This window comes from Homo sapiens, chromosome 5 (genome assembly GCF_000001405.40).
Source record: "Homo sapiens chromosome 5, GRCh38.p14 Primary Assembly".
Lineage (NCBI taxonomy): Eukaryota > Metazoa > Chordata > Mammalia > Primates > Hominidae > Homo > Homo sapiens.
Genome location: NC_000005.10, coordinates 51,349,620 through 51,362,322, shown reverse-complemented (window position 1 = coordinate 51,362,322; position 12,703 = coordinate 51,349,620).

Below are 12,703 nucleotides of genomic sequence, written 5' to 3'. Positions count from 1 at the left end.
ACTATTATTATTATTATTTAGAGACAAAGTCTTGCTCTGTCATCCATGCTGGAGTGTAGTGACGCAATCATAGCTCACTGCAACCTCAAACTCCTGGGCTGAGGTAATCTTGCCACCTCAGCCTCCAGAGTACCTGGAACTACAAGTTCACACCACTGTGCTTGATTATTATTATTTTTTATTTTTTTGTAGAGATGGCAGGGGGGTCTCACTATGTTGTGCAGGCTGGTTTCGAACCCCTGGCCTCAAGCCTTCTGTCTTGGCCTCCCAAAGCACTGGGATTACAGGAATGAGCCACCATGCCTGGCCAGCAGTATTTTAAAGATGATGAGGCAGAAGCATAAGTTAAGTAATATACTTCAGGTAGTGTAACTAATGTGTAATGCGTGGATATGTTATCATTTTCTATTTGTTTTCCCTAGATCAACTTTCCGCCCTTCTCTGCCCTCCTGTGAGAGGCTGAACTATTCACACTGCCTCAACCACATTCTCTTTTCCCCTGGCTTCTGGTTGGCTTTAGCCAATGGGACATATTAACAGGGTCTTAATGGTGAAAGAAGAAAGAAAAGGAAAGATTTTCCCCTATCCTACTGCCACTTCCTGTTCCTTTCCTGCCTTGCTAGGGAGGGTCTTTTCCCCTGTACAACCATAGCTCTTACTGGTGCCCATTCCACTTCCATACCACATTCTGGTAACACTGTTTCTTGAGTTCTTGGCGGGTCATAATGGCTGCTTCCCTTTTTTTTTTTTGAGACGGAGTTTTGCTCTTGTCACCCAGGCTAGAGTGCAATGGCGTGATATCAGCTTACTGCAACCTCCACCTCCCGGCTTCAAGCAGTTCTCTTGCCTCAGCCTCCCAAGTAGCTGGGATTACAGGCATCTGCCACATGCCCGGCTAATTTCTGTGTTTTTGATAGAGACAGGGTTTTGCCATGTTGGCCAGGCTGCCCTGACCTCAGGTGATCTGCCTGCCTCGACCTCCCAAAGTGCTGGGATTACAGGCGTGAGCCACTGCACCTGGCCAATGGCTTCCCATTTTTGCTAGCCCCTTGTTTTTTCACCATCTCTTGTTTTTCTCAATCTTCCCAACACCTCTGCAAACAATTCCTTCCTTAAATTATTTCCAGTTTATCTACTCTGAACATGCCATCTTTTTTTTCTCCCTTTGGAAGTTAGTTGCAATTTGATTACAAGGATAATTGACTTTAGAACCTGAGCCCTTAATCACTTCAATATATTGACTTGAACAAAAACATATCCCCCAAGTAAATGAATTTCTAAATTGAAATAAATTAGTTGCATGCAGTCAATTGCTTATATACTTGATTTTAGTTATTAAGTTTTTCAAAACAATGACTAACTGAATTAAGCCAGTTTTACAATTTTCACTATGTGAACATAGCATACTATATGTTGTGTATAATGGGTATATTAGTTAATAAACCTATCTGTAAATGTAAGGCCAGCTCACCCTTGTTATTATTTTGCCATCAGTGAGCATTGTTTATAGCATCTTATCTATCATTCTCTGATTTCATCCTTTGCAGTGAGTTTGGGTTTGATTCATTAACATTGGAATCTCATGAAGTTGTCCCTCAGAGAAAGGGACTCTACCCCATCACAATATACAGTATACTTCTGTTCTTTTACAGGTTTCTTACCACTTTCTAAGTGGTGCTGATGTCTGTTTCCTTGACAATGAGGTAGGGTGAGCACTGAAATGATACAGAGTACATGTCAGGTGTATTCGCAAAGTGAGTTGTAGTTGTTCAGAAGAAATATATCAGAGCAACCTTGTCTTCTCTTGTGAGCAAAGATGCTAATGAAGGAACTTCACATTGCAGGTGGTTTCTATGGAACCAAGAGCCAGATACACATGACAGACACTCAACACTGGCCTATTACATTTTTACATTTGTTTACTACTACTGTTCATTTCTTTTCCCCCAGTTATTTCTTAAGTACACAGCCTGACCAACTAGTTTACTACTTGGAAGCTAAGCAAACACTTGATCTATTCCTTTTTGATTGTGGGACACAATTAAGGTATAGCCTGAACATCTTCAGCAGTCTTTGTATCTAAAACACGTAGTTCAAAAATATTATAACAGTATAATTATTCTGCGATATAACAGCAGATCAATCAGAAGCCTTCCTTAGCAAGTCTAAATTACGATGTCTGTATTGATAAACCTCTGATGTAATAAGATCCCAAAACTACTTATGAATCATAAAAAAGCTATTAGATTGTTTTCATAGTCATTGGATATTAAATGTATATTGATGTGTTCTAATTATTTGAAAGTTGTTAATTCAAACGTGGTGAGTATGGAATATCTATTAAGGAGAATATGATTAGCTAACGCATTCCTTTTCCTGATCATGACAGATAGAGAGTTTACTCTATTTGGGTAATGATCCTCCTGAAACTGAAACATCTGGGATGCTTTGGTTAAAAATTAAATGATATGAATGATGTAATCTTTGGCTACAATTATGGTATATGTGTATTAAAGATTTATAATTTTAATTCTCTTTAATAGTAAAGAGATTTTTCCCAACATTTAAGGATGTTCTCCAAAGCATATAACTTTTGCAATATGTGCTTCATGGGTTCATATACAAAATTGAACCGTGAAGATAGGGAGTGCAATGATAGATGCTAGAGGCTGGGAAGCATAGTGGGGAGAGAAGCATAGAGGGGGAGAAAGTGGTGATGGTTAATGGTACAAAAATACGGTTAGATAGAGTGAATAAGATCTAGTGTTCAGTAACACAGTAGGGTGACTATAGTTAACAACAATTTATTGCATATTTAAAAGTAACTAAAGGAGTAAAATTGGAATGTTCTTAACACAAAGAAATGATAAAGGCCTGAGGTGATGGATACCACAATACCCTGATTTGATCATCACACATCATATTCCTCTATAAAAAACTCACATATGTCTCGTAACTGTATACAATTATTATGTATCCATAATTAAAAATTAAAATTAAAATAAAAAATTAAAAGAGGAATGCCTACATTCCTATTGGAAAAAATGAGAATTGATTCAAGGAACTTACACTTTTCTATCATTTGAACACATTGAGGATATTACTAAGTACACATAATATAATATGAATTTCTTTCACAGACCATGAAGACTGTGTCTCTTTTAGCTGTAAATAGGGCTTATATTATCCAGAGAAATATTGAATTCATTCGCTGTTAGTAGATGTCACAGTTTTTTTAGTTGCATAATTTAATTGCTATTTATTTTTAGAAACATGAGGTATTTCAAAGTACTGAAAGATGCAGCACTAAATATATACATTTTGAAGAACTTAAACACAGAACTTTTCATTTATCCAGTTCTACACACCAAACATAAGCAAATACATGAACAGGAAGAAACAGGCTAAGAAAAAGGCATATATATATATATATTTCTTTACAAAAATTTCTTAGTTCAAAAAGTGAGAAAGTGATATCTACTCAAAACTTTCACAACTCATTTTCATACAAAAATGTAAGTATCAAATTTAGTTATGTATCAGCGTCATACTAAGGTATACAGGCAGTGTAAGAATTAGCACAGTACATAGCAGAGATTAACAATATATTTGTATACAAAACATGCTCCTCAAACATTGAGGTATTATTACAGTTCTTAGGTATGAACTTCCAGTCTAATACTGGCCGCAAAAGCCACCTCTCATTACCCAAAACTTATACAAAAGGCGGATGTGTCAATGGTATTTACAGAAATGTTCCCCAGGGGTATCAAATTGCAAACCCCTTACGTGCCATCTGCTGGAACTTAAGCATCATTATAAAAGAAGGAATGACTTTCTGTTGTTTGGAAACTTGGAACACACAAGGTGACTTCAACAGCCCAGAGGCTCCCAACTGTCACACACTTCTACCGCTGTCATGGAGGTGAGGTGGAGGAGGCCGCAGGGCCACCCAGCATCCGGGGATGCAGGCTCTCTGAGGTCCCAGCAGAACCTCACACCGGTGGTCTTGCTCCCCAGCAGAACTTGACAGGGGACCTATTTGAAAGTAAACCAAAGATGTCACAGTTTGAGTCCCCTCTGAAGCAGACATTGAAATGGAAGATTAGTATGAAGGCATTTCATTAGAGTGTCCTTTGGAAAGGAAAGGAGGCAGGATTGGGCAGGGAGAGAATTTAGGCAGTGTCTTTGTTGATACAAATGCAACAAAGGCCTCAGCCATCCTCTTGGTAGCTCTAAGCTGGAATGGCCCTTCTAGGTTTTCCCAAATTTCGAAGAGGGGTTCTAGACTTTACAGCCCCATGTTTACTAGGCACTGGATTTGGGCTTCTGTGAGAGGTAAGGCAGTTCTCTTCAGCCAGTGGTAATTCTAAAACGGGCTAAGCACATGTCTGAAAACCTTCAACAAACTTCTCAGAAGCTGGACAATCATTTTCTCAGTTCTGAAGGGAGAATTTGGGCAGGACATCACAGTATCTCTGACAATCCAACCCTTCAGCTACTTGACTCCACTTTATATATACGGCTAATTGATTTCTTCATTGTGCACTCTAAGGGCCTCTTTTCCTCAGGGAAACCAATATGAGAAAGTTTAGTGGAGGATCCACAGCATTTGCTGCTGCAGCTGGTCTCAGAGCTGCCACTGAAACAGCATCTCTCTTCCCTACTATCTGTTCTAGAGTGCCTCATGTTCAGTTAGCAACCCTGCTAGTCTAGATGGTTATTTAGTTGGTTGACCAATATCCTCATCTCGGGGGGTCCACGCTGCTGGTTACCATGCTCTTTTGAGGATACTGCACTTGTCCATTTGCCGTTGACATTGGACGAGGGGGTGCCAAGAAACATTCCAGTTGACCACCTGAGTGCCAAACATAATCCTTCTTGTCCCCATTGTATAACAGCAGCCCTGCCTCCTCTTGATAATCTGAGTTAATTGCTCCCTCCAGGCTGAAAATTTTTCTTTTTGTTTGTTGGTACCTTGGTACAAGGAATACATAGTGTCCAGGCAAGAGTTGTAGCTTAAAGTGCAATGAGACTGTTTCTGTGTTCCCCAGTGACAGGATTGCAGAGCCAGGAAATGTGAATTTCTCAAGTGAGTCACTGAGAATGATGGTAAGCAGGGCTACTCCTGCTTCTAGCATTTCATTCCAGGCCTGTGTATTCTATCTACTGGAATCTTTGCACTATACAATAGTAATTGATTTAGTGTGGATATGTGTCCTGAAACATAACACCTGTCTTTGGAGGGTATCATCCCTAAACTAACACCTCAGCTGTACCTGTAATAGGCCATTAAATTCTCTATGCGGATATCAGCTACTGTGGTGATAGGACCAGTAGATTTTATGGTCATGTGCTCACTGTCACACCAGCTTTGCTATAAAGAGGGCCCATAGGTCTGATGCAAAGTTATAGGAGATGATGTGCCAGCATATAAAACATTTTGTAAGTCCCTGGATAGCAGTGGCTAGTTGAGGCTCTGTGGATAAGAATGTCACACCCACAATTAGAATATGTGTCAGTTACTGACAAAATAAATCACTGCCCCTTCCTGGGATAAAAAGGATCAAATGTAATAGACTTGTCACCAAGTGGCCAGCTTGTTTCCTTAAGGGACAGTGCCATATTAGATGCTTAGTACTGGTCTTTGTTGCCAGCAGGTTGGAATTTTGCAGCAGTAATGGTTATTAGCATTGGTGAATGTGAAGCTACCTTGTCTAGCCCCTGCTTAGCAACTATTCCTACCTCTCTGGCTATTACATTTGTGCAGTCATTGTACCAGCACTGTGATGGTTGATGACAGATGTTGACTATATCAGCTGGCTGAATAATTCTATGTGTCTGGTTGTTCATTGTTCTTTCTATGGTGGTGGATGTTCTCAGGATCAACACTTCTGGGAAGAATAAATGAAGCAGGATTGAGGTGAATTAGATACAGTCACAATAGGGTCTTAGCTGACCCCAGGAGGGGCTTGAAGTTTTAAACCGATTTATGCCTGGTGTTCCATTATTGGAAAGCTAAGCTTGTGGGAGTTATTTATATCCTACTGCTCAAAGTCATCTCCAAGGTTTGATTTTTCACACAAGAAAATTTGCAACCTCCAGCATAAATGGGTTAATGGCTCTTCAGAATTTCCCAGAGTTGAGAAAAGAGAGCTTGACCTTTATAACACAGAATCAATGAGTCACTGGGTTCAGGCTGCTCTGGGAAGGGGAGAATAACCTTAGGTAAGGTGATTCTTTTTAGCCCATTCCACTGAGCTCCCAATTAACCTGCATTATGTATCCCAATACATTTTAGATAGATGAGAATGGAATCACTTCCATCGAGGATTGGGATCTGACTAAACAGGTCTGAGACCTATGCTATCTGACAGACTATTTTTGGGAATTAGGTCCGTTTGACAAGTTCCTGGCCACCAGTTGTAAAAGAACTGACCATTCATTTCCTGAATGTTGATAATCATGTACACAGGGAACTCTCCCTGGTGCGGCTTAAACACTTGACCAAAGACTCCCTGCTTTGTTTGATCTTGTGAATATGCTCGTCTGATCTGTTTCTAGTGTATCTTGCTTACAAGGTTATTTATCTTGCTTCATTCCAATCTCAGCAAATCTCTTGAAAAAGTCCTGTTGCAGTTGTGACCTGATGTGATTCTAAACATATGCTGAGTTCTAGTTGTCACCTGGAACCACCACCCAATGACCAACTCATTCTATATTCTCTTAGTACAAAGAATTCATTTATTGAAAACTAAAATTATATGCATTATTCTTTGGAATATGATAAGATTCATTTTATTAAAGTACAAGTTTGATCAATAAGGAGATTTGGGCTAGTAAATAAAACTAGAAGATCAAAATGCCTGCTAAACTCTAAGTAGAATAATTGTTCAGGATTTTACACAGAAGGAACAAAAGTATATATCAAACTAAATGAGTCAGAATTAACATGTTAGGGTACACTCTCTTCCTTCACATGTCATGCCCTCCTTTCAGTTCTATAGGATAAAGACAAGTCTTGTAGGAAGGAGGGGTGATGATGAGCAGACACCATTTCCTACTCTTTGGGTTTTGTTGAGAATTGAACTAAGTGTGGATACATAGTTATGTTTTGTTAGTATCTGTGAGGAGAGAATTCATAGTTTTTATACCATAGCAATTTAGATAAAAGAAATCTATATTCTATACAGTGCTTATACTCTTGAAGTAGATATAAGAATAACATCAGTGTAATTCACAGTTGCTATGAGAGTAAAGAGAAATGATCTATCTCATCTGTTTAGGTACATAAGGAAAATCTTCACAAAGAACTTACTCTAATTCTTGGGAAAGAACCGATTTCTGCATTCAAGAATCATATGATTGCAACATTTTTTAATGTCATTCATTACCAATATGGATTTAGCTCCCCACTTCATCAAGTGAACAGCCATTACTCCATGTATATATCTGTAACAACTAGATTGAAATATCTTTTCAGATTAAGAACCACTTTTCTTTTTCTTTTTATTATACTTTAAGTTTTAGGGTACGTGTGCACAATGTGCAGGTTAGTTACATATGTATATATGTGCCATGTTGCTGTGCTGCACCCATTAACTCATCATTTAACATCACGTATATCTCCTAATGCTATCCCTCCCCCATCCCCCTACCCCACAACAGGCCCCAGTGTGTGATGTTCCCCTTCCTGTGTCCATGTGTTCTCATTGTTCAATTCCCACCTATGAGTGAGAACATGCGGTGTTTGGTTTTTTGTCCTTGCGATAGTTTGCTGAGAATGATGGTTTCCAGCTTCATCCATGTCCCTACAAAGGACATGAACTCATCATTTTTTATGGCTGCATAGTATTCCATGGTGTATATGTGCCACATTTTCTTAATCCAGTCTATCATTGGTGGACATTTGGGTTGGTTCCAAGTCTTTGCTATTGTGAATAATGCCGCAATAAACATACGTGTGCCTGTGTCTTTATAGCAGCATGATTTATAGTCCTTTGGGTATATACCCAGTAATGGGATGGCTGGGTCAAATGGTATTTTTAGTTCTAGATCCCTGAGGAATCGCCACACTGACTTCCACAATGGTTGAACTAGTTTACAGTCCCACCAACAGTGTAAAAGTGTTCCTATTTCTCCACATCCTCTCCAGCACCTGTTGTTTCCTGACTTTTTAATGATTGCCATTCTAACTGGTGTGAGATGGTATCTCATAGTGGTTTTGATTTGCATTTCTCTGATGGCTAGTGATGATGAGCATTTTTTCATGTGTTTTTTGGCTGCATAAATGTCTTCTTTTGAGAAGTGTCTGTTCATGTCCTTCGCCCGCTTTTTGATGGGGTTGTTTGTTTTTTTCTTGTAAATTTGTTTGAGTTCATTGTAGATTCTGGATATTAGCCCTTTGTCAGATGAGTAGATTGCAAAACTTTTCTCCCATTCTGTAGGTTGCCTGTTCACTCTGATGGTAGTTTCTATTGCTGTGCAGAAGCTCTTTAGTTTAATTAGATCCCATTTGCCAATTTTGGCTTTTGTTACCATTGCTTTTGGTGTTTTAGACATGAAGTCCTTGCCCATGCCTATGTCCTGAATGGTATTGCCTGGGTTTTCTTCTAGGGTTTTTATGGTTTTAGGTCTAACATTTAAGTCTTTAATCCATCTTGTATTAATTTTTGTATAAGGTGTAAGGAAGGGATCCAGTTTCAGCTTTCTACATATGGCTTGCCAGTTTTCCCAGCACCATTTATTAAATAGGGAATCCTTTCCCCATTTCTTGTTTTTGTCAGGTTTGTCAAAGATCATATGGATGTAGATATGAGGCATTATTTCTGAGGGCTCTGTTCTGTTCCATTGGTCTATATCTCTGTTTTGGTACCAGTACCATGCTGTTTTGGTTACTGTAGCCTTGTAATCTAGTTTGAAATCAGGTAGCATGATGCCTCCAGCTTTGTTCTTTTGGCTTAGGATTGACTTGGCAATGCGGGCTCTTTTTCGGTCCCATATGAACTTTAAAGTAGTTTTTTCCAGTTCTGTGAAGAAAGTCATTGGTAGCTTGATGGGGATGGCATTGAATCTATAAATTACCTTGAGCAGTATGGCCATTTTCATGATATTGATTCTTCCTACCCATGAGCACAGAATATTCTTGCATTTGTTTGTGTCCTCTTTTATTTCATTGAGCAGTGGTTTCTAGTTCTCCTTGAAGAAGTCCTTCATGTCCCTTGTAAGTTGGATTCCTAGGTATTTTATTCTCTTTGAAGCAATTGTGAATGGGAGTTCACTCATGATTTGGCTCTCTGTTTGTCTGTTATTGGTGTATAAGAATGCTTGTGATTTTTGCACATTGATTTTGTATCCTGAGACTTTGCTGAAGTTGCCTATCAGCTTAAGGAGATGTGGGGCTGAGGTGATGGGGTTTTCTAGGTATACAATCATATCATCTGCAAACAGGGGCAATTTGACTTCCTCTTTTCCTAATTGAATACCCTTTATTTCCTTCTCCTGCCTGATTGCCCTGGCCAGAATTTCCAACACTATGTTGAATAGGAGTGGTGAGAGAGGGCATCCCTGTCTTGTGCCAGTTTTCAAAGGGAATGCTTCCAGTTTTTGCCCATTCAGTATGATATTGGCTGTGGGTTTGTCATAGATAGCTCTTATTATTTTGAGGTACGTCCCATCAATACCTAATTTCTTGAGAGTTTTTAGCATGAAGCGTTTTTGAATTTTGTCAAAGGGCTTTTCTGCATCTATTGAGATAATCATGTGGTTTTTGTCGTTGGTTCTGTTTATATGCTGGATTACGTGTATTGATTTGCATATGTTCAACCAGCCTTGCATCCCAGGGATGAAGCCCACTTGATCATGGTGGATAAGCTTTTTGATGTGCTGCTGGATTCGGTTTGCCAGTATTTTATTGAGGATTTTTGCATCGATGTTCATCAGGGATATTGGTCTAAAATTCTCTTTTTTTGTTTTGTCTCTGCCAGGCTTTGGTATCGGGATGATGCTGGCCTCATAAAATGAGTTAGGGAGGATTCCCCCTTTTTCTATTGATTGGAATAGTTTCAGAAGGAATGGTACCAGCTCCTCCTTGTACCTCTGGTAGAATTCAGCTGTGAATCCGTCTGGTCCTGGACTTTTTTTGGTTGCTAAGCTATTAATTATTGCCTCAAGTTCAGAGCCTGTTATTGATCTATTCAGAGATTCAACTTCTTCCTGGTTTAGTCTTGGGAGGGTGTGTGTGTTGAGGAATTCACCCATTTCTTCCAGATTTTCTGTTTTATTTGCGTAGAGGTGTTTATAGTATTCTCTGATGGTAGTTTGTATTTCTGTGGGATCGGTGGTGATATCCCCTTTATCATTTTTTATTGCGTCTATTTGATTCTCCTCTCTTTTCTTCTTTATTAGTCTTGCTAGTGGTCTATCAATTTTGTTGATCTTTTCAAAAAACCAGCTCCTGGATTCATTAATTTTTTGAAGGTTTTTTGTGTCTCTATTTCCTTCAGTTCTGCTCTGATTTTAGTTATTTCTTGCCTCTGCTGGTTTCTGAATGTGTTTGCTCTTGCTTTTCTAGTTCTTTTAATTGTGATATTAGGGTGTCAATTTTGGATCTTTCCTGCTTTCTCTTGTGGGCATTTAGTGCTATAAATTTCCCTCTACACACTGCTTTGAATGTGTCCCAGTGATTCTGGTATGTTGTGTCTTTGTTCTCATTGGTTTCAAAGAACATCTTTATTTCTGCCTTCATTTCATTATGTACCCAGTAGTCATTGAGGAGCAGGCTGGTCAGTTTCCATGTAGGTGAGCAGTTTTGAGTGAGTTTCTTAATCCTGAGTTCTAGTTTGATTTCACTGTGGTCTGAGAGACAGTTTGTTATAATTTCTGTTCTTTTACATTTGCTGAGGAGTGCTTTACTTCCAACTATGTGGTCAATTTTGGAATAGTTGTGGTGTGGTGCTGAAAAGAATGTATATTCTGTTGATTTGGGGTGGAGAGTTCTGTAGATGTCTATTAGGTCCACTTGGTACAGAGCTGAGTTCAATTCCTGGGTATCCTTGTTAACTTTCTGTCTCGTTGATCTGTCTAATGTTGACAGTGGGGTGTTATAGTCTCCCATTATTATTGTATGGGAGTCTAAGTTTCTTTCTAGGTCTCTAAGGACTTGCTTTATGAATCTGGATGCTCTTGTATTGGGTGCATATATATTTAGGATAGTTAGCTCTTCTTGTTGAATTGATCCCTTTACCATTATTTAATGGCCTTCTTTGTCTCTTTTGATCTTTGTTGGTTTAAAGTCTGTTTTATCAGAGACTAGGATTGCAATCCCTGCCTTTTTTTGTTTTCCATTTGCTTGATAGATCTACCTCCATCCCTTTATTTTGAGCCTATGCGTGTCTCTGCACGTGATATGGGTTTCCTGAATACAGCACACTGATGGGTCTTGACTCTTTATCCAATTTGCCAGTCTGTGTCTTTTAGTTGGAGCATTTCGGCCATTTCCATTTAAGGTTAATATTGTTATGTGTGAATTTGATCCTGTCATTATGATGTTAGCTGGTCATTTTGCTCGTTAGTTGATGCAGTTTCTTCCTAGCCTCGATGGTCTTTACAATTTGGCATGTTTTTGCAGTGGCTGGTACCGGTTGTTCCTTTCCATGTTTAGTGCTTCCTTCAGTAGCTCTTGTAGGGCAGGGCTGGTGGTGACAGAATCTCTCAGCATTTCCTGGTCTGTAAAGGATTTTATTTCTCCTTCACTTATGAAGCCTAGTTTGGCTGGATATGAAATTCTGGGTTGAAAATTCTTTTCTTTAAGAATGTTGAATATTGGCCCCCACTCTCTTCTGGCTTGTAGAGTTTCTGCCGAGAGATCAGCTGTCAATCTGATGGGCTTCCCCTTTGTGGGTAACCTGACCTTTTTCTCTGACTGCCCTTAACATTTTTTCCTTCATTTCAACTTTGGTGAATCTGACAATTATGTGTCTTTGAGTAGCTCTTCTTGAGGAGTATCTTTGTGGCATTCTCTGTATTTCCTGAATTTGAATGTTGGCCTGCCTTGCTAGATTGGGGAAGTTCTCCTGGATAATATCCTGCAGAGTGTTTTCCAACTTGGTTCCATTCTCCCTGTCACTTTCAGGTACACCAATCAGACGTAGATTTGGTCTTTTCACATAGTCCCATATTTCTTGGAGGCTTTGTTCGTTTCTTTTTGTTCTTTTTTCTCTAAACTTCTCTTCTCACTTCGTTTCATTCAATTGATCTTCCATCACTGATTCCCTTTCCTCCAGTTGATCCAATCAGCTACTGAGGCTTGTGCATTCATCACGTAGTTCTCGTGCCTTGGTTTTCAGCTCCATCAGGTCCTTTAGGGACTTCTCTGTGTTAGTTATTCTAGTTAGCCATTCGTCTAATTTTTGTTCAAGGTTTTTAACTTCTTTGCCATGGGTTCAAACTTCCTCCTTTAGCTCAGAGTTGTTTGATCACCTGAAGCCTTCTTCTCTCAACTCGGCAAAGTCATTCTCCTTCCAGCTTTCTTCCATTGCAGGTGAGCAGCTATGTTCCTTTGGAGGAGGAGAGGCGCTCTGATTTTTAGAGTTTCCAGTTTTTCTGCTCTGGTTTTTCCCCATCTTTGTGGTTTTATCTACCTTTCGTCTTTGATGATGGTGACGTACAGGTGGGGTTTTGGTATGGATGTCCTTTCTGTTTG